The sequence below is a fragment of the Homo sapiens genome, chromosome 6, assembly GCF_000001405.40.
Source record: "Homo sapiens chromosome 6, GRCh38.p14 Primary Assembly".
NCBI lineage: Eukaryota > Metazoa > Chordata > Mammalia > Primates > Hominidae > Homo > Homo sapiens.
In genome coordinates, this window is record NC_000006.12 from 116,884,631 (window position 1) to 116,906,381 (window position 21,751).

Here is a 21,751-nt window from a genome sequence, read left to right on the forward strand (position 1 = left end):
AATGAAGAGAAACCCTCTTGACAGGATCTATAAGAGGGTGGGCTGGCAGGCTGCAGGGAAAGTCAATTAATCTTTGAAGGAGCCTTTAGGATTAGGGATGAATCATTAACCCTGTCCATTGTGTCACAGTGGGGCTCTAGTACTTAGGTTGATGTAACAACATGGGGTGACTTCGGGCAATTTATTTGAATCCAAGAGCCATAGATGTGCCCAACAGCAAGGCATTAACAATTTGAATTTTTTTCTGCTGTGCTGATATGCCATTTGATATTTGTGACGTGACTTTTTTGATATGTTTATATCATAGAGAAAAATTAATTTTCCATATTTAAACTACATATGGTAAAAATATAGCAAAATGTAGTTTGTATATCTTGTAAATAGTAATTTTTTTGACATAATTATTCTTAGCTAGGTATGTTTCTGCCTTTATTTCCAAGAAATATCCTTAGCTTTTATCTTGGAAGATAGAATATCAAAAGGCAGTATAGCCTAATGGTTAGGGACATAGGCTTTAAAGTTGGACAACTTTAAACATGAATCTGATGTTTCCATGTATAGCTGTGTGACACCAGCTTTCCAGCTAGTGATTTATTGTAAGGTTATTCAGCTTTTCACCAGTAAAGTGGGTATACAATATCTTATAGGATTGTTGTGAGAGTTAAATGAGATAAAGTATAGGAATGAATATAGTAGTGAATATGCTTTCAACCGCACTATCCTTAATAATAAAAAATTAATGACTCAATATAAAATATCTGCACTACAATTAGAAGTTATTTACTGAGTATTACACACACACACAGATGCATGCACTCATCTCTAATCCTTGCAATAATGATAGAAGATAGGAATTACTGTATTACAAATGAGGAAATTGCATTTCAAAGGTTATTGGCTTGCCCAAGGCCACATAGATAATACATAATAACAATGCTGGCATTTGAATCAAAGTATATCTGACTCTAAAGTTTATGTTTTATCTGCTAGTAAAAGTAGGGAAGCCTACTACTTTTTTTCCAATATCAATCGTATCAACAAATAATTATTCAATTGAATGTTTGATTTTTGACATATAAGTTTTATTAAGTTTTTTTTTAACAGATCTAACAGTTCTTAAACTTTATTAACATATTAGATTCTTCTTCAGAGAACAAACAACACTTTACCATGCCACAATTGTAAGGCATTTAATTTAGAGGTATTTGTGTTTTATATTAACAGCAAATTTGTAGCACAATTTTATTTTCTGCCTTTTAATTTTAGTCCTAAACATGTCTCTGTTATATATTATCTTTGCAAACATTTCTAATGGCTATTATTTCATAAACTTACATTTTATAAAAATATTTTTATGTTTCTATGGAAATATGAACAACTGAATGAAAGACAGAAATATAAAGTAAGTATACCTTAGAAAATCAGGGAATCATAATTTCTCCCAATTTTACTAGTAATTTTGCAAAACATTTTATTGTTATTGTAGTGTTTAATACAGTACTTTTAGCATAGTATTACTAAATATTTGTTGAATTATTTAAAAAATATAAATAAATGTGATATTTATTTTAACTTCCTTGGATTGCATACTAATACATACAAACATTGTGAAACTGTTCTGATGATGATTACTTAAAAAATGAGTTCTCAGTTTGGCCAAATTATTATAGGATAGCTAGAGTATGTCCAGTCATCTCACTGGGGACTATCAGAATTTATTTTAGATTATGATTGACTCAAAAGGTTCTCCTGTACTCTGGGCATGAGATAGCACCCTCTTTTTAAAAATTGTTCTTAGATGTCTTTGAGGTTCATGAAGCAATGTCACTCTCTAAATTTTACTGGTCCCTATATAAAACCCAAAGTTTGGAAAACACTAATCTATGTGACAAAGAGATGATTAGTAGGGCCTAAAAATCATGAATGAATGTGGTGTCTATTTTCAAGTTCTATTTTCCTAAGTTTTGAAATAACTGGCTGTTAATTACAGTAATGTCTTCACAGCTCTCACATTTGTGCATGTGCTACTTCTTTCCCTCACTGAAAAGTGAAAGATGAAAAAGTTTGACTGTATAAAATGAGCCCAAAATTTATTCAATTAAATGGAAGAGATAAAATATTTAAAACAGATATATTAAAACAAAAAAAAATAGGCTGGATGTGGTGGCTCACACCTGTAATCCCAGCACTTTGGGAGGCTGAGACAGGAGGATCAGGAGGTCAAGAGATTGAGACCATCCTGGCTAACATGGTGAAACCCTGTCTTTACTAAAAATACAAAAATTAGCTGGGCGTGGTGGTGCGCACCTGTAGTCCCAGCTACTCAGGAAGCTGAGGCAGGAGAATCACTTGAACCTGAGAGGCGGAGGTTGCAGTGAGCTGAGATCGCACCACTGCACTCCAGCCTGGCGACCGAGCGAGACTCCATCTCAAAACATAACAAAACAAAACAAAAATAAAAAAATAATAAAACAAAAAAATCTAAACAGACAGGATCACTGTGTAGGGCCAGATATCATCCACTGTCAAAATTAGGAACAATTAAAAATGGAGTAATTTGTTTTCAGTGGCAAGTTCAACATTCCACATCAAAGGCCACTGCTGCTGATGGTTATGGAAAAAAAAAATCTCTAAAGATGAACATGAGGGGTCAGGAAGCGTCACTCTAGGGCACCTAACAAGTGTGCTTTGGGGACAAAGCCAGTCAATTTGCAGGTCCATTAGCAGCTCAGCTCTCTATCCAGTTCCTTCACGCTTACCATCCCCTGCCAGCCAAGAAAACCAGCAACCCCAGCGGCAGACACTGTACATTCCCAATACCAAGATAAAAATTGACTTTACTTTCATGTTTCTTCTTTTCTTCCCTTTAGTTTTACTACCAATTCCAAAAGTATACACCTGGTTTTATTATCTGTGATATTTTTTAATTGAGGTTTTGAATAAATAAAAAATGAAACAAAGTTCTATAAGGATAATAATGAAGAATCATTCTTGCATATTTTATGGTTATGAATACATTGAGAATAATCAGTCCATTCCTACTGACATGGATGTACAAAGCGTGATGCTAAAGAGTTTTTGAGATGCAAAGAATTGTAAAACAGGGTACCTGCTGGCAAAGAACTTTCGCTACTCATCTTAATTATTTAATAAGCATTTTACTGAGGGTCCCGTTGCTAACTAGGCCCTCGGGTACAATGATAAGCAAAAACCTTGTATCCCACCCTTGCTCAGAATGGCTTGGCTAAGTAAAGGAGAACATAATTGAGCCCACAAATAGATTTTACACACATGGTAGACTGTTTGATTTTAAGTTACATTTTAATTTTTTGTAGACTTTGATCAGCCAAATCTTGGTTTTCAGACATGATGGACAAAAGCTATTATCTTATTTATTAGTAGTGATTTAGTGGGTTAATAAAACTGATACGGCAGCTGCTCTTATCATAGCAAGTTATTGCAAGTCCCTGAACAGCTTAATCCCATCATTTCCTTATCAGTTATCATTTGTGTAGTGTAAACTAACATCAGGGCTACTAGCTCAGTGGGAACATATGTTTCAGGAATTCTATATAAAGACTGAAATGGAAAAGAAGAAATATAGATGCAAGTACAAATTGTTCAGCAAATGAAGAAAAGTATTAGGCACAAAGTAAATATTTTAGTAGTAAAAAAAGAACAGCAATAATTTCATTTTTCATATTAAAAGTCTGTTATATTTTATAACATGTTCACATTAAAATGTGGTTACAAGCATTAATTATTCTTTTTTCATAAATTTTAAATCAGATCTGTCATTTGACATAAGATTGAGGAAAGTTGCTAATAAATGAACACAATTTTCTTAGATAATCATAGAAGCTGCTTTCATGACACATTTTCTTGAAGAGATTAGCTAATCATCCCCAGGATTTTCGAGCATTTATCATATATCTTCTTTAATAGAAATGGATAATAATCATATAGGGAGAAGGAACTGTGAAATGTTTGGGAATCTTTATTCAGAGTAACCTACAGGATAAGCATCAGGTAGTGTTATATAAATTTAAACAACTATTTCTTCCACAGTGAGACAAACATCACTTTTTATTTAACATACACCAGCATATCTTCTTGTTATATTACAGTATGCATGGTAAATACTCCCTAGCAAGATTTATTTTAGGGTCATCTATTAACCACAAAATAATGCTATAAAATATTGCAAGTGAGATGAAAAATTTATGTACACTTTGCATGAACTCTCTCTCCCCAGTTTTATGAGGTTTATCTTTAGTGACTAGGAGGACAGAAAGCTGCTCATTTATTATCTCTTCTCTGTTCTCAGAGACTCTAAATCACTCAGATGACAACATGTACCTAGTTAGACTAAAAGGAAGATTAAAGGGGAAAGGTTATTTTGTTGGCTCCAGAAGAAACTGGGTATGAAATGTGCTAAAGCATTACAGTGGTCATTGCAAAATACTGAGGTTTGTATTGCTAGCAACAGTCTTTCCACCAAAGTACACCAATTTCATGCCCTTTATATATATTGTTTACGTATGCAACTTTTGTTCAATCTCAGTGTTTTACTGATGACCTGGAAATGCAATGTCAGAAGGTGGTTATTGAAAACTATCAGCTTTAAGAAAATTTGTTTTATTGTTTTCTAAATTCCTAGAAGAACACATTGATTTAACCAGTAAATGTATGAGGATTTTTCTTCGTACTAATTTTTAATGAGGAATACAGTGAAGGGAAAGATAAAATTCTCATCCTCGAAATCTTAGGGTTTAGTATGGGAGGTAAGCCATGTATACAAATGCCAATGATACAAGGACAGAGCTGTATAGGGTAAATGACCAAGGGAGGAGTTCAGGGAGTTCAGGAGTTTTGCCTGAGATATCAGGCAAAGCTTCATGTGTTAAAATATGCCTTAAACTATGATTAAGAAATGAGGACCTGATGGAAGAAGGGTATTCCCAATGGAGAGTTCAAAAAACCAAAGGTACCACCGTGGCTATGGCAAGCTATTTATGAAGAGCAAGTCATCCTGATAGTAATAGTCAAGTTTCTACAGTACCTGTGATAGGGTTAAAGGAGTTAGTAGACTTCCTTACATCATGTTAGATAAGAGATTCTTTAATTTCTACCAAATTTTAAATTGTGGTGATATGTTTAAGTATATGATATTATATGAAATCTCTTAATTGGCAAATGTTTTTATGGTTTTGTGACACATTGTTATTTTTAATTTTTCAAGTTATTCATTCATTTATCTAATAAATGTTTATTAATTTCCTATTACAGGGAGCTTACATTCTGCGAGTTTATACATGAAATGTCAAATATGAAACATCCAGATCAGTGGTGTGGGTCTTAATAATTCATGTTAGTTATCTATGCTTACATTACTCCTGCCAAACAAGAATAAAGTGTGTGTGTGTGAATGCAGACATATTTGAACTGTATTTCACTAGAACTTTCTAATTGTAAATAAAATTGCAATACAAAAGAGAGATATCTTTTGCATCTTGAGTGTGGAGGCAATATGGTTTGTGGAATCATGGGTTTAAATTTTGCCTTCAAACCCATAACATTTTTAAACAAATCACATAATTTTTGAATGTCTGTTTTGGAATGGGGATAATGCTCTACTTGCCGGCTGCTGTGAAAATTTGAGATCATGTACACATACAATTCTTTGCATGTAATAGATGCTCAAAAATGGTAATTATTTCTATCATGACTCACTATCACCTGCTTCAATGGTAGCAAATATTAATTTGGTATTACAATTCTCTGTTTGCATTATTTGTTCCCTCACAAGACTGTTAACTCCTCCAGAGACTCTCCTCTACCTCTCTTTCAATCCTCAGCACATGGCACACAGTGAGCACTGAATACATGTAGGAAAAAAAAGAGTGTACTCTTTCACTGGTTCTCTATCTCCTGGCATGTATATAAGATTGTATGATAGAATATGCTCAGCTACATCAACATATCTAAAATCTAAGGCATTGCTAATAAGAAAAGTACATGCCATTTCTCTCTTGTAGAGCTGAGTGTAGCTGACCAAGTCATTTTCTTCAGGTGTCAGTTTGTGTATGGGTTTATAGTGTTATTTACATTTGACTTATACATAAAATACATACATTAATTAAAAAGCACGGTTTTTTGAGTATATATAAAATAGTTACTTTTGTATTTTGGATGTAGGTAGAGGCATTAAATATTTCTATTTGTAAAGATATTCTGTCCTAATGACTGGGGACAGGAATAAGGGGGCCAAATAATATAATCATTTATAACAATAAGAAACAAATAAATTGCATAATAAAACATTCTATCCTTAAAAGTCGTAAGAAAAAAGTTACACATCTGTATTAGTTAGGATTTATTTAGTCTTAAAATGTAGCAATTTTTTTAAAATGTGAATATCAAATGGTTTTAAAAACTGCAAGTAAAATGTACCTCAGTGCTGGTCAGTGTAGTCACTTTTCCATGACAGCAGGCATCAGAAGGCCATAGACTATGGAGGAATTTGGAAATATGGATATTCCTGATCAGATTTTCAATGTCTGTTTTGTTCATCATTGTACTGACAACTAGCACAGTGGTCAGGGCACAGTATCTGCTCTAATATTTTTTGAACTAATGGCCATCCCTTTGACTTGTCTTGTGATTTTTGTGTACCACCTGTGAAGACAGTGTAGTTTGTTCTCAATCTGCATGGCAAACCATTTTACCACGCTGAAAAGAGGATTAGAGTTGAGAAACAAGAAAATTGAAGTTATAATAAAAGAAGTTTATCAATTTTTAAGCCAACGTTTAACATGTATTTCTTTAGCAAGTGGCTAAAATGTAGTATTTAAACTATAAAGCTTATAGAACAAACAGCAAGCTTTGCAAAAAGAACATGAAATTACAACATCTTTCCATTCTAATGGATCTCTGTTTTCAAACATTATTTGATTTATTTCTTCTAATATGTAAACATTTCTTTTGGTATCTTAGTTCTAAAATCTAACAAATGAAATATTAGTAATTATTTCAGACTCTGGCTTATTAACTAATTCTACTAATATATGTGACTATCATCTAAATCTGCTAATGTTTTCACAGTTTTAAATATTTCTCTTACCTATATCTATTAATATAGCTCCTTTGGTAAAGTCTTTATGACTTAAGTAAGCTTCTTTCTTTTCGTTTCTAATTAGAGACATACTCAGTTTAGTATTTTGAAGTTTCCATTAAGTTTTCCATTTCCTTCATTTCTCCCTTTGTTCCATTATACCTTAGAGGTTCTTTTTTTAATCTACCATAGGATTTCTTTTTCTGTACTGTAAAAATGAGCAGTTATGATGGTCCTTTTTTCAGGTTAACAGACTATAATTGTACATTTACCAAAATTGAGGACTTGAAAACATCTTCCCAGTCTTCCAGAATCATAAAATATCTTCATTTACCTTGACCACCATATATTATTGTTTCCCAAATATGACAACTCTTTCTGAAAACATTAGTTATAATATTTGTTGCTGCTGTTGTTGTTTTGATGTTTAAAAATCCTTTTTCCTTCATCTCAAATGACCTTGAATCAGTAGAGGCAAGTTTGCTGCCACAGTCCTGCCCTTAGCACCTGAGAAGAGAGAAGCCATTTCTGGGCCTCCCACTTTGGGGGGCTCATTCTGGCTGTCATCCAGCTGCTGTCCTCCCATGAGGCAGGGAGTCCATAGCCTGAGTGAATGTGTCCATCCAAAAACCACATCCCACTTCTGGGTCCCTGGGGCCCTGGAATTCCCTGTTCAACTCCCCAGGCCCACTTCTTGGGCCTATATTGGGCATGTCCCAAGTCCATCCTCAGAAGGCCACATTGCTTCACTAGTGTTCATAACCCTAGACTGAGGTGTGGTCAGGGGGTAGCTGTTAGTAGGTGATGCAGATGCAGCTGGATCTTGGATGTGCAGTCCAGTTCCCTCACAGTGAACAAAGGAGCCAGAGCTGAAAAATGGGGTGAAAGTGGGTCTTTCCCCACCACCATGTTCCCATATGGAACTCCAGGAGTCTAAGAATGCTAAATTCATATTTACCTACTAGACCATTATGGAGGTAACTTGTCAATGTAAGAGGACAGGAATATTTTTGTTAGCTGTTCATTAGCTCGATTTATAGTTTTCAAATAGCTATTCATATGGTATGTAGGCTTCCATTTGTACTCCCGTCCTGGATCCTGAAAATGCTTAGGAGTGGAACTTCTTGGCCAAGTAGTTCTTTATTGCTGAGGCCAGAGATAGGGCCCTTGATGGATGAACGGAAGATTCATCCATTCAACCAGATGGATGAACTGAGGATTCAGATGGTGGCTCCTCAGTTTAAAGGATCCACTTTAAACTCAGATGGTGGTGCTCGGAAACAACGTTTTAAAATATAATTAGGCTGATGTCCACTGGAAATCCCCTCATTCTCTTTTTTACATTTCTTTCCTGATCCTAGATGAATGCAAATTGAAGGAGTTGGTAAACAGTAGGTAGTGGTGCTTTATGGGGGATGGATGGTGGAGAGTGGAGACTGACCACAGAAAGCAGATGCTAGAGGACTCTGACTATCCTCACTAAATGCCCACTATTCCACTAGCATGTGTATAATATTTGTAGTGTTTGTATATGGGTGTGTAATATGTCAAGAGTTTGTGACTTAGGAGAATAAGCCATAATTTGAGAATCAGTGAGTTGCTATACTTGTATTGTGTCTCATGATCCACTGGCATATTTAAAACAAATTATCTACAGCACTGTTACTTTCCACATGTCATTTTCATTGATTTGCAACATAGCCTTCTCCCCATTGTTGCATGAAATTTTGAAGTGAAAATAGTAGTGAATTGGACTTTTGATTCCTCGTGAGGAAAATAATGTGTAAAGGGTCACATGTTTCATACATATTCCCATGTGTGAGATTGGTCTTCCCTACACATATGGTAAAGAAAACCATAGCATTTTCTTGTCCAATTGACTAAATTCATGTTGAATCACCCAATTTGTAAATACATACAGTACATATACTTAGAGCCAAAGCCTACATTTATACATTATTGGGATTTGGAACCTAATGTTTTAGGGTATGTAAGAGGATTGTCAGTAGGTAATTCTCATTTTTCAAGCCTAGAGTCAGAAATAACAACAATAAGTAGGAGTAGTGACTATCAAAGAGGAATATAGCACATTAAGATGCTGCCTACCTGAAAAATGTCAGAAAAGAAAGGTCATCAGGGTTTGCAGTTCTTATTCATGGTTATGTCAGTTATACCTTAGTCTCTTTTTCCCCTCCAAAAATCTCCTTCACTAACACAGAGCTGGTTCCTGTCTTTGCTCTAGGTATCATTACTATGGGATTGGCATCAAAGAGAGCAGTGCATATTACCACTCCGTTTATTCTGGAAAGGGCTTGACAAGGTAGAGTTACACCATCTTCAAGACAAATTCTCTGTGTTTCTTTAAATATGCATGATACCTATTGAATAAAATGATTTCTTAATTTTGCTTATCAAGATGTTTCCATTTAAGCATCAGACCTTAATGTCCGCTTTGTATGGATGATTATATAATCTAGATTACTGGGAAAATTATATAACTTGTCATAATTAGTGAGAAATTAATTGTGAACTAGTGTTCCAGAGAGATGAAGAGGAGAAATCAAGGAAGCAGAATTGCTTTTAAATTAGTATTTACTAATAAAGCAAAGTCTATTTTCAGGTTGGATTCAATAAAACAAAGGCAGTAAATGTAAATGTAACTTTTTTCTGAGACAACCTGTTTTAAAGATCTATGTGCTTGACTAGTACCTTACCAAGATAGAAAGTTTATTGTAATAATCTCTAATCACATATACTTTGACCATCCTCTTACCTTATGAGGGTGAAATTACTGACCTGTTTGGGTTTCTATGAAAGGTAAAACATGAATGAAAATAAACAGCACATTGCTCTAAGCCACTGTTAACTATCATGGGGATATTAGTAAGTGAGGTTACATCTAATGAAACCAGTGATAACACATCATTCATTTTTTAAACTGAAACTCTGAATAATTAGATGTGTATCTGAGATTGCTTTATGGTACGATTTACCAAGAATTGCTCTTAGCTCTTAAAAGAAGAAATTATTTTTAAAAGTAAAGTATCTTGTGGAAAAAAAAAGTTTAGTCACTGAGTCATACTAAGATAAATTTAGATATTACAAGGAACATAAGGCTGCTTACTAGCCACCACCCCACTATAAAATGTAAATATAGGCTGGAACACACACAAATGTTTAATAGTGAGTGTCCTTTACTTGTCTCAAATCTCACCTGGCTTTTAAAAATATTATTCATTTACTTTTTTTCTAAAGAACTTATTTTGTTTTAGTAAGTTGAGAAAGATGCTTGATTTCTTTAAAAAAAGCAAATTTCTCCAGCTTATTTCTCTAATCATGGTATGAAATTACTGCTTCTTTAGGTTGTCTACATATCATTGAATGCTATAGCTGTAATTTTGTTTGAACTAATGGAAAATGTACTAATTTTTTAAGGTTTTCTGGAAGCAAGCTAAAGAATGAGGTAAGAATTATTTTCATCTCTATTTTACATCTGCTATAATATGTCTTACAAGCTGAGCAATACATGTTAATTATTCCCTTTGGCAAATGTAGAAATAAATGTTATTTATTAGGAATTCCTTGACGAAGGACTTCAGATACAGCTCAATTAGATTTGGGACAACAAATGAATCTTTGCATGGATCTACCAAACAACTTTCAGTTAACCTAGGAGAGATACATTTTTAGTTATCTTTACCTAATATCAGATACTTACAAGACTGTAAAAAAAACACTATCATTTATCCAAAAAGTTTCCACTTAAATATAAACAAAAAGCTTAAGCTGAGGATATGGAAAGAATTGGTCTTTGGACTGCACCCATTTAGACAAAACATTTATTAGTTATCAAGGAGCCCAAATGCTATGCTACACTATGGTTTGTTTTACTACTTTGTGTACACACACACACACACACACACACACACACACGTATACAATCTTTCTCCCTAGGCTTCCTCTCCACCCCCTCCTTCAAGAACAGACTTTATCTAAATGAGTTAGACTACCATTAGGGACTGCATGGGTAATTAGACACATGATAAGGCCTTCATTATTCTCAAGTTAACTAATCATTAAGAAGAGGTGCTGCCAAGCTAAGGGCACATGACAATGTGTTGTGTAGTAAATCTGGACCTGAGGTAAAGTGTAACTCCATTAGTTTGGTGAAATGATGCAAGCATATTTTAAGAAATAATATAAGGCCCCCAACCCACTAAATGGCCAATTTCTTTCCACCAGTGCTTTTAATACAGTTAATGGCTAATTACATAATATAAATCCTCCAGATTGCTCTTTTTATCAATGAAATAATAGCTCTTTATTAGATAAACAATTGTGAAACTGCAAAAATATTGACTTAGAGATACACTTTGGTTGAGTAAAGTTTATGTCAATAGGGAATTTACGTTATTTCTCTCAGGTGTTCTTTCTACTAGTTTGATGAGGCTGGTGGTACTAGCAAGCCCTCTGCCGATAAATGGCAAGCCTTGTTTCATGGAATAAAAGAAAAATATTTCTCAAGTCTACTTTTTCCTCCTTAGAAGAGGACACTGCAAATACTGTTGTAGATTTTGTTACTAAAATTAAAATATTCTGATTAAGCTCTATAGCCTAACCATTTTCTGTGGATACCTGAAGGCAATAATAGTGTACCATTACTTTGATGATTATAGAAATTAACACAACTAAGAGCTTTCTAAAGGCTCAGAACTACTCTAAATAAGTTTAAAATGATAATAAAATATTTTCATAACACAATTGAAATTTTTAAAAATTATTTTCTTTGGGAGGCTGAAAAATACAAAAAATTATTTGGGCATGGTGATGTATGCCTGTAATCCCAGCTACTCAAGGAGGCTGAGGCAGCAGAATCACTTGAGCCCTAGAGGCTCGGAGGTTGCAGTGAGCCATGATTGTGCCACTGTATTCTAGCCTAGGCAACAGTGTGAGACCCTATCTCAAAAAAAAAAAATTGTATTTAGGGCGACCAACCATCGTTGGTGTGCTCAGACATGACTTTCAGTGCAAATCTTCATATACGTCAGTTCATTTGAACATTCATAACTGTGAGGTATGGTGTCAGCATATTTACAGCTAAGAACAATGAGGCTGAGAGATGTATTTGCTTTTTTAAGAGGTCAGAGAAAGATTCTATTTTTTTAAAGCCATGGTCAAGATATTAATTAACAGATGTATTACATTACAGGTACTAGGAGACAAAATGGTGAATGAAGAGATTTGGTCCTGCCCTTCCAGAGCTTTACAGTATAGCAGGAAAGCATATCTTGAACAAGTAATTATAAGAAATTCTAGAGGGTGTCATGGGAGTAACTAGGTTTAGGGAGTTAAGGACATTTTACACAGGAAGTGATATTAAGGAAATAACTCAGAATATAGTGGTAGTTTGGAGGAGGAGTGGAGTAGGGGAAGAGGGAAGAAGAGTGGTTAAGACAGATGGAATAGCATAGGCCAGGGTTTCTCAGCCTCCATACTATGGAAATTGTGGTTCAGATAATAATGTTTATGGAAGATATCAAGTATATTGTAGGATGCTTAGTAGTATCACAGCATCTCTGGCCTCTACCCATTACATTCCAGTAGCAGACCCCCACCCCCTTGTCGTGACAACCAAAAACGTCTCTGACATTGCCAAATGTCAACTACTGGCATATGTGAAGGCAAGCAAGAGGTGTATCATGTTGTAGAAAAAATAAAAAAAATTCTGCTTAGCTATAGTGTAGAATGAGGTAGAGAGTAATATAATAGGTAGAGGCTGGATTGTTTGTAGTCTCATTAGGTTAAGAATTCTGTAATGGGAAGCCACTAAAGGGGAATTATGCATCAGACTTGGTGTTTTATAAAACTCATTCTGACCATGACATGGAGAATACATTAGAAGAGTGTAAGGCAGGAAGCCAGTAGATCCATTGGAGGCTATCTGGATAGTCTGTGTAAGAGAAGATCTGGACCAGAATAATAGCCCAAGGGATGGAGAGAAGTAACTGATTTTAGTTGGGAAATATTGAAGGAGAAGCAGGAAGAAAGAGTAAAAAGATAAGGGGTTTAATTTGGGACTTGTCATATTTGATGTGTTTGTGAAACATTTAACACAAATTTTAAGTGGGAAGTTGGATATATGTGATTGGAAAGGAGGACTTCAAGATTTAGTTTGATGGTGATTGAAGCCATGGTAATGGATAAAAATGCTTAGGGAAAAAATGAATGAGAAGACAAGAGGTTACCAAAAAAAAGTTGTGAAAAGTGAGAGAGGAAGAGTCGGTGAGATAACAGAGGAGAGTCTAGAGTGGTAGGAAGAGAAGGAGGAGAATACAGTGTCACAGGATTCAGGATGAAAAAATGCTCCCTACAGAAGGGAATGCTCAGATGGTGCTGAAAAGTCATCAAGATAAGGAGTGGAAAGGATCCATGGAATTAGTTAAGTGGAGATAACTAATGATTTCAGGGAGAGCCTTTCCAGTGGTGAGCTGGGGTTTGGTTTGTGAAATGAGTGGGAAGTAGCATTGAATGTAGAACATTTAGTCAAGTTCAGGGTGATAATTGGAAAGGACTTGGGATTTGGGATTTTTTGTTTTTGTTTTTGAGACAGGGTCTCACTCTGTCACCCAGGCTGGTGTGCAGTGGCACAATCTTGACTCACTGCAGCCTCAACCTCCTGGGCTCAAGTGATCCTCCCACCTCAGCTTCCCAAGTAGCTGGGACTACAGGCACACACCACCACACCCAGCTAATTTTTTGGAATTTAGTTTTGAAGGATGATTAGACTAATGTCTAATGCTAATAAAACAGGAACAGTAAAGAATGAAGACTGAAAATATTAAAGAAAGGAAAGTTGAGAGCACAAGGTCACTGAGGAGGTCAGTGTAGAGGAATTGGCCCTAGAGAGGAGGAGCAGTTCTTCCACTAAAACTGAAAAGAGAAAGGGTAAGTTCGGATGCAAGCAGATTTGTAGATTTTTGTGGCAGAAAGTTGAGGTAGCTTCTGTTTGGTAGTTTTGCATTTCTCTCAGGAATGGTAGTGTAGGTCATGTGCTGTGGCAAAAATCATGGAAAGAAAGTAGGAGTTTGAGGAACTTAAAAGAAAGTCCTAGCTATTCTCAACCAGGTTTTCTAGAGAGAATATAGCCCTAATGCCCTAAGACATCCACTGAATATAAGGAATAAACTCTGTCGTGCATGAGTGTTTAGAATGGTATTGATTAAGCACCATCCTTGAGAGAATTGAAAAATGGTTGTTCAAATCATTTTCTGTAGGACTTAATTTTCTCACAGATTTATTGAGATGGTAGCAACAGTCTTTGTGGAAGACAAGAAAGTTAGAAGATTGTAAAATTTAAATGGCATGAGCCAGAAGAAATGCAAAATATTCAGGAACAGTTATAATAAGAGAAGCATACTGCCTATTTGGAAAAAAAAAATACAGGCATAAAAGAAAACTACAAGTGAAATGACATACCATGTGCCTGGATAGGAATGCTAGATATTATAAATATTCCAATTCTTCCTAAATTAATTCAGACATTTTATATTATAATGAAAATTTGAGTGGGTAATTAATTTTTGGAGATGAATATGTTACGAGCTTAATCTAGAAGAATATACAGGAAGTAATAGTTAAGAGAAATGTAAACAAGAAGAGTAAAAAGGGGATTTGTCTGCCACATATCAAAATATTATGACATGATACTGAGTCAACTGTAGATAGAACAAATCTGCAGCAGAGTTTAGGTACCTGACAAAAGACCCTAGTATTTATAAGGTTTTAGTGTATGACCAAACAGAAATTACAACAAATGAAGGAAGAAAATATTTTTCTGTGTCCTTTTTGGAGAAAGGTGGAGTACTATATAAATAAAATTATTCAGGAGGTGTTAGAAACATTGACCATTTTGCAAAAAAATTTCTATACCTCACAACTTATGTGAATTTCATATAAACAATTAAATATAAAAATAATACTTAGGAGGAAATATATGTCTACCCCACTTCTGGAAGGAGTTATTCACTTTCTAAGCATAAAAGCAGTTTAAGACATTTCATAGGAAAAAGAAAAACACACACATTGGAAACTTCTTCATATCAAAAGCATCATATGCAAAATTTGAAGTCAAAGGAAAAACTGGGGGAAATATCTTCAGCAAACATGACAATAAAATTATATCCATAGTACATAAAAAATCCTATAAAAATATGAAGACCACAATAAGTAGTAGAAGATGCGAATAGATGATTCACAGTAGAAAGAAAAAGCTAATAAACGCATGAAGAAAGGAGTACCAAATAAACAAAAATTAAGATAACATTTTACAATATGAAACTATGAAATATTTAAAAATTATTGGGAAGTTGGTGAAGGTAGGATGAGATAAACTCTTTCATATCTTGCTGAAGGCAGAATGAATTTTTGGAAAATGTTTGGAAGATCTGCACCAAGTCTTTAAAGTATTTATATCCTTTCCTGCTAATTCTACTTTTGTATGGATTTTGTATGAATCTTTTCTTTTTTTTTGAGATGGAGTCTTGCTCTGTCACCCAGGTCGGAGTGCAGTGGCGTGATATGGCTCATTGCAACCTGCGTCTCCAGTGTTCAAGTGATTCTTCTGCCTCAGCTTCCCGAGTAGCTGGGATTACAGGCGTGCGCCGCCACACCTGGCTAATTTTTGTGTTTTTAGTAGAGTCGGGGTTTTGTCATGTTGGCCAGGTTGGTCTTGAACTCCTGACCTCAGGTGATCTGCCTACCTCAGCCTTCCAAAGTGTTGGGATGACAGGTGTGAGCCACCGTGCCCGGCCTTGAATCTATTTTTATTTCATAGTGAAATCTATTTTTATTTAAAAAAAATTTTTATTTCACTATGAAATAAAAATAGAAATAAAAATAAAATAGGTAAATTTCATAGTGAAATAAAATAGAAAATGCAGACAGAAAATTATGCACAAAATTTTTATTGATTACAGTGAGAAACTATATGTAACCTAAATGACTAATATCAAAGAAATGGTTACATAATTTATTGTACTTTTGTGTGGCTGAATATTATTTATTAAAAGGCTCTTTTAATGATATAGAGAAATGTTAATTATAAAAAAAGGACACAGAAGCAAATATATGTGAAATATGTAAAGCATAACTGGGTATTTACAAATTATATACAGTTGGTCCCTGGCTTAAAATGGTTTGACTTACAATTTTTCGACTTTGTGATGGTGTGAAAGGGATGCGCATTCAGTAGAAACTGTACTTCGAGTACCCATACAACCATTCCACTTCTCACTTTCAATACAGTATTTAATAAATTATGAGTTATTTAACACTTCATTATAAAATAAGCTTTGTGTTAGATGATTTTGCCCTACTGTAACCTAAGGTAAATGTTCCAAGCACGTTTAAGGTAGGCTAGGCTAAGTTATAATGTTCAGTAAGTTGGGTATATTAAACGCATTTTTGACTTACAATATTTTCCAATTGTAATGGTTTTATTGGGATGTAACCCCATTGTAAATTGAGAGGCACTGTATGACAGAGAATTAATATCTATTACTATGTTGTAAAATATTGTAGCTGCTAGCCACATGTGACTATTAATTAAGTAAAGTAAAAAATGCTCAGTCACGTTAGCTACATTTCAAGTGCTTACTGTATTGGACAGGAAAGATACAGAACATTTCCATAATAACAGAAAGCTCTATTGGACAGCACTGTTCTAGAATATGTATAGAATTCAAGTCAATAATGAAAAGACAACCCAACAGAATTATAGCAAAGTATATGAAGAGGCAATTAATTCAGGATAAACAAAGAATGACTAACAGTGCTAGTTGGCATTCTGGTTGACCAGTGTCCATAACGTATGTTGAATACCACCCCTTGCCAATAAAAAAGTGCTCAATCTAAATATTAATCAGGGAAATGAAAATTAAAACCCTAATGTGTGATTGTCTCACATATATTACATTAGCAATAACTAAAATGTCTAAAGACACACTGTTGACAGGAATATGGACCAAAGGAACTCTCAAATAGAGTAGAAGGGACAATATCTAGTGAAGTTGAAGATTTACACACTTTATGACTGCATTCCTAAAGAAACCTTCACATTGTGCACAAGGAGGTGTGTATGAGGATGTTCACTGCGACATGGTTTATAATTGCAGAATACTCGAAAATAATCAAAGTGTTCATTATGATATAATGGGAAATAAGTTTTTATACATTTATACAATGGAGTGCTATACTGCTTTGGGTATGAGCGAATGAATGATAGTTATAATAATCAAATTAGGGTCATCTCAAAAACCTAAAGTTGAGTGAAAAAAGCACATTGAAAATACAAGGATACATAGTGTATTATACCAGTTTTAAAGAACAGTATAATATTAAGAACATTTACATACTAGGTAAATTTTTTAATGTTTGAGTAGAAATGATCTAAACCAAGCCCAGAACACTATTTCTTGTGGGAGAAGAAGGGAATGAAATTAGGCAAGGCTGCTTTAGTATTGGAAATGTCTCATGTCTTAATCAGGATGGTAAGTGGGTATTTATTATTTTTTCTCTATATCTTTTAAAAAGTTTTAAATAGTTCAAAATATAAAAGCAAACAACAACAACAAAAAACAACAAAAACAAAATAAAAAACAGGAAAAAGATGGTAAGAGCGTTACTACTTAGTATTAATAATTGTTACTGTTTTAAAATTTTTATTCATAAATGGAGTGGTTTAAATTTCAGAAATGTCTTAGAGATTGTCTCAGAATCTGTTAATTCACAGGAATAAAACAAATGAACAAAACTTAATTATAATATTTTCTCCCCATCAAAGAAAGCTTTTCTTTTCCTGTGGGTCTTCTAATGTGGGCCAAATTTTTGTTTCAAGCAGCTAGTGAAGTTGACATTATTTCTTAGGGAATGGGTCCATTGATTTCATACATTTCTACCAGGAAGTTTCCTTGATAGCCTGAGTTTTCTTCTCCTTAACATCAACCGTTCACAGCCAGTTGAACAACTTTGTACCAAGATAAATATCAAATCCTCCCTCCTTGGTATATGCTTTTCAAATATTTGTAGACTGTTATCATACTCTCCTTTGTCATCACTTAGCCAAGCCATGCAGCTTAAGTCCTTTAATCTTTCCTCATAAATCAGACCCTCTTGCCTTCTAGTCATATTTGTTTCTTTTCTGTAGGGTCCTTCTTGTTTTCTTTTAGAAATACGATTCTTAATAGTTCACCCAAGAGTACCGAAGTTATCAATTGAGAAAGGAAAAAACAAAACAAACCCAGACCTCTGTAGCTGGCCTATGATCTGGCACCTCTTTTAGTACGATTGTAATAGCAAATATATTAGTGGAATTAGAATGAGCATATTTTACTATTTTAAAGATGATCACTCCTCTCTTTTTGTGTTACACTTACTGGATATTATTCGATTTATGCAATTTATATGATCTTTGTATCCAGTTGTTAACATCCAAAACAAAATTAATTTTAAGGTTTTTTGGGGCCCTTTTGCCCCTTCTTGATGTTGCACATATTGCTAGCTTTGATTACACAAAATTATTATTTACCAATATGAGAGTTTTTAAAAGTATTAGAATTAAAGTTACATACTTTATTTCTTAATATGTGTTTCTTTAGCATGCTAACATTTTTTATTGGGAAATGTGTTATTCACAGCACCCACCCAAACACACAAACACATGCATAGAATTTTTAAAATAATCATAATATGAAAACTCAAGCCCTTTCTCATAACTTAAAAGAGAGGAGTCCTCTGTGCACCCACTTCAATCACTTTTTCCTCCCTACTCATCAGAAGTTACCACTCTCCAGAATATGGTGTTACTGTTTGTTTTTCTGTAAAGTTTGCCACTTACAAATAGATCTCTCAACAACATATTGTTTATTATTTGCCCAGTTGTATCCTACATAAAAATAGGCTCCTTGTTTTCCCTGTGACTTTCTGTTTTCCTTCAATGCTAGGTTTTGTGATTCTTTAATGCTGATATATGAAGTTCTAATTTATTTGTACTGCTGTATAATATTCCATTGTAGGAAACTATCCCAATGCGTTTATTCATTCCATTGTGGATGGGAATTTTTTTTTTGCCTGAAAAACAATATTGACGCAAACAATTCTCCAGGTAGACATCTATAGGAGTTGAATTCCAGGTCCCAAGATATACTCATCTTTAACTTTACTAGTAAAGGTGAAATTATTTTCCAGAGTGGTTGTATCAACTTCTGTCTCTCCAGCTGTGTGTGATCATTACTTTTGTACCTTATTCTTATGCTTGGTATTAAATGACATTTTAGTTTTTGCCAGTCTTGTGGGTGTAAAATCATGTCTGTGTTTTTTATTTGGAAATTGTTTTTAACAACTGATGAGCTAGAATATATTTTTGGATTTTTATTGGTCGATTCTTTTCTGTGAAATGTTTGTTCAGATCATATCGTTTTTTATTTTGAAATTTTAATCTTAAGAGTTCTTTATATGTTCTGGATACTAATATCCTGTAAGTTATGTGTTGTAAATAACTTCTTCCTGTTAGTGGCATGACTCAATATTCTATTGTATCTTTTGATGAAGATTTTTATTTTATGGTTAGTACTTTTTATATCTTGTTTTTTAAAAATTTGTGTATATTCCAAGATTATAACAATATTCTCTATAAATTACTTTGAAAGCATAAAGTTGCTCTGAACATTTATTTCATTTGTAATTGGTTTTTGTTCATATTTTTATTGTGGTAAACTACATATAAAATATACTATCTCAGCCATTTTTGAGTGTACAGTTTTGTGGTATTAAGTACATTGGTATCATTGTGTAACCATCACCACCATCCACCTTCAGAACTCTTTCATCTTGCAAGACTGAAACTCTCTACTCATTGAACAATAACTCCCATCTTCCCTCTACCATGTCCCTGGCCACTACCATTCTACTTTCTGTCTCTATGATGTTTACTACTCTAGAATCCTCTTTAAGTAGAGCCATACAGTATTTGTCTTCTGGTGACTGACTTATTTCACTTACCATAATGTCCTCAAGGTTCATCCATGTTGTAGCATATGTCAGAACATCATTCCCTTTTAAGGATGAATGATATTTCATTGTATGTATATACAGTACCACATTTTGCTAATCCATTCATCTGTCGATGGACAAGTGGGTTGCTTCCACGTTTAAGCTACAGTGACTAATGCTGCTATGAATGTGGATGTACAAATATCTCTTTGAGATCCTGCTATAATTGTTTTGGGTATATACCCAGAAGCGGAATTACTGGGTCATATAATAATTCTATTTTTAATTTTTGGGGGAACTACCAAACTGTTTTACATAGCAGCTGTACTATTTTACATTCTCACCAACAATGCACAAGGATTCCAATTTTTTCACATCCTTGACAACACTTGTTATTTTTGCTGGCGTGTGTTTGTGTGTGTTTTTGTGTTTATAGTAGCCATCCCAGTGGGTGTGATGTGGTATCTCATTTAGGGTTTGATTTGCATTTCCCTAATGATTGTAACATTGAGCATATTTTAATGTATGTACTAGTCATTCATATATCTTCTCTAGAGAAGTGTATATCAAGTCCTTTGCCCATTATGAATCATTTTGTTTACTTTTATGTTGTTAAGTTTTAGGAGTTCTCAATATATTCTGTATATTAATCCCTTATGAAACATGATTTGCAAATATTTTCTCTCATTCCATACATTGCCTTTCTACTGTGATCATAGTGTCATGTACAGTTATATGCATAACTTTTATGAACAAAAGTGTTTCTTTTTTTTTTTTTTTGAGATGGAGTCTCACTCTGTCACCAGGCTGGAGTGCAGTGGTGCAGTCTCGGCTCACTGCAACCTCTGCCTCCCGTGTTCAAGCATTCTCCTGCCTCAGCCTCCCAAGGAGCTGGGACTGCAGGCGTGTGCCACCATGCCCAGCTAATTTTTGTATTTTTAGTAGAGACAGAGTTTCACCATGTTGGCCAGGATGTTCTCAATCTCTTGACCTCATGATCCACCCACCTCAGCCTCCCAAAGTGCTGGGATTATAAATAGTTCATGAAGAACTATTTTTTTTATGAAGTACAATTTGTGTAATTTTTGTTGTTACCTGTGTTTTAGTGTCCTATATAAAATTTTTTTTCCAAATCACATGTTTCCTTCTAAACATGTTTCCTGTTTCCTTCTAAAATTTTTATAGTTTTAGCTCCTACATTTAGATATTTGATTCATTTTTGGTTAATTTTTGTATATGATGTATGAGGTAAAGGTCTGACTTTATTCCTTTGAATGTGGACATCCAGTTTTCTGAGCACACTTTGTTGATAGAACTGTCCTTTCCCCATAGAATTGTCCTTTCCCCATAGAATGGTTTTGGCACCCCTATCAAAAATTATTTTACCATATATGTGAGGATTTGTTACTGGCCTCTCTGTTCTATTCCATTGGTTTATGTGTCTGTCTTCATGACAGTACCATATTGTTTTGATTACTGTAACTTTATAGTACGTTTGAAATCAGGAAGTCTTCTCTGACTTTGTTCTTCTTTTTCAAGATTTTTGGCTACCCAGGGTCCCTTGAGATTCCATAGATATTTTTAGGATGG

At 34.3% G+C, this 21,751-nt stretch overlaps 1 protein-coding gene across 3 annotated transcripts in view, besides 6 other annotated features; it reads left to right on the forward strand.

Moving 5' to 3' along the window:
- The window catches only part of RFX6 (regulatory factor X6), a 54,920-nt gene that overhangs the window by 7,389 nt on the left and 25,780 nt on the right, over window positions 1-21,751 (forward strand). For all 3 annotated transcript variants that reach the window (NM_173560.4, XM_011535589.2, XM_017010477.2), the window contains 2 exons: window positions 9,357-9,434; window positions 10,550-10,577. In NM_173560.4, the coding sequence (NP_775831.2) occupies window positions 9,357-9,434; window positions 10,550-10,577 (106 nt within the window). The remainder of the gene's footprint in view (window positions 1-9,356; window positions 9,435-10,549; window positions 10,578-21,751) is intronic.
- Window positions 3,809-4,710: an enhancer, noted in NCBI's record as "fragment used in the 900 bp pGL3 reporter construct". NCBI's record gives its function as "activates an RFX6 promoter with higher activity for the rs339331 T allele by reporter assays in VCaP prostate cancer cells {active_cell/tissue: VCaP}" and the evidence as "EXISTENCE:reporter gene assay evidence [ECO:0000049][PMID:24390282]".
- Window positions 3,959-4,562: an enhancer, noted in NCBI's record as "fragment used in the 600 bp pGL3 reporter construct". NCBI's record gives its function as "activates an RFX6 or SV40 promoter with higher activity for the rs339331 T allele by reporter assays in LNCaP and VCaP prostate cancer cells {active_cell/tissue: LNCaP | VCaP}" and the evidence as "EXISTENCE:reporter gene assay evidence [ECO:0000049][PMID:24390282]".
- Window positions 4,249-4,272: a protein binding site, noted in NCBI's record as "HOXB13snpC/T oligo used in EMSAs". NCBI's record gives its function as "binds HOXB13 with higher affinity for the rs339331 T allele in COS-1 kidney fibroblasts and 22Rv1, LNCaP and VCaP prostate cancer cells {active_cell/tissue: 22Rv1 | COS-1 | LNCaP | VCaP}" and the evidence as "EXISTENCE:chromatin immunoprecipitation evidence [ECO:0000226][PMID:24390282, PMID:26398868]" and "EXISTENCE:protein binding evidence [ECO:0000024][PMID:24390282, PMID:26398868]".
- Window positions 4,255-4,268: a transcriptional cis regulatory region, noted in NCBI's record as "range of bases deleted from various clones in the variable length NHEJ-induced deleted region from TALEN-mediated genome editing". NCBI's record gives its function as "positively regulates RFX6 gene expression in 22Rv1 and LNCaP prostate cancer cells {active_cell/tissue: 22Rv1 | LNCaP}" and the evidence as "EXISTENCE:mutant phenotype evidence [ECO:0000015][PMID:26398868]".
- Window positions 4,256-4,264: a transcriptional cis regulatory region, noted in NCBI's record as "HOXB13 binding site bases deleted in the 600 bp enhancer Mut construct". NCBI's record gives its function as "important for activity of the RFX6 600 bp allelic enhancer in VCaP prostate cancer cells {active_cell/tissue: VCaP}" and the evidence as "EXISTENCE:reporter gene assay evidence [ECO:0000049][PMID:24390282]".
- Window position 4,259: a transcriptional cis regulatory region, noted in NCBI's record as "rs339331 prostate cancer risk SNP that exhibits higher RFX6 enhancer activity and increased HOXB13 binding for the T allele than for the C allele". NCBI's record gives its function as "positively regulates RFX6 gene expression with skewed activity for the T allele in 22Rv1, LNCaP and VCaP prostate cancer cells {active_cell/tissue: 22Rv1 | LNCaP | VCaP}" and the evidence as "EXISTENCE:mutant phenotype evidence [ECO:0000015][PMID:26398868]", "EXISTENCE:natural variation mutant evidence [ECO:0001103][PMID:24390282, PMID:26398868]" and "EXISTENCE:reporter gene assay evidence [ECO:0000049][PMID:24390282]".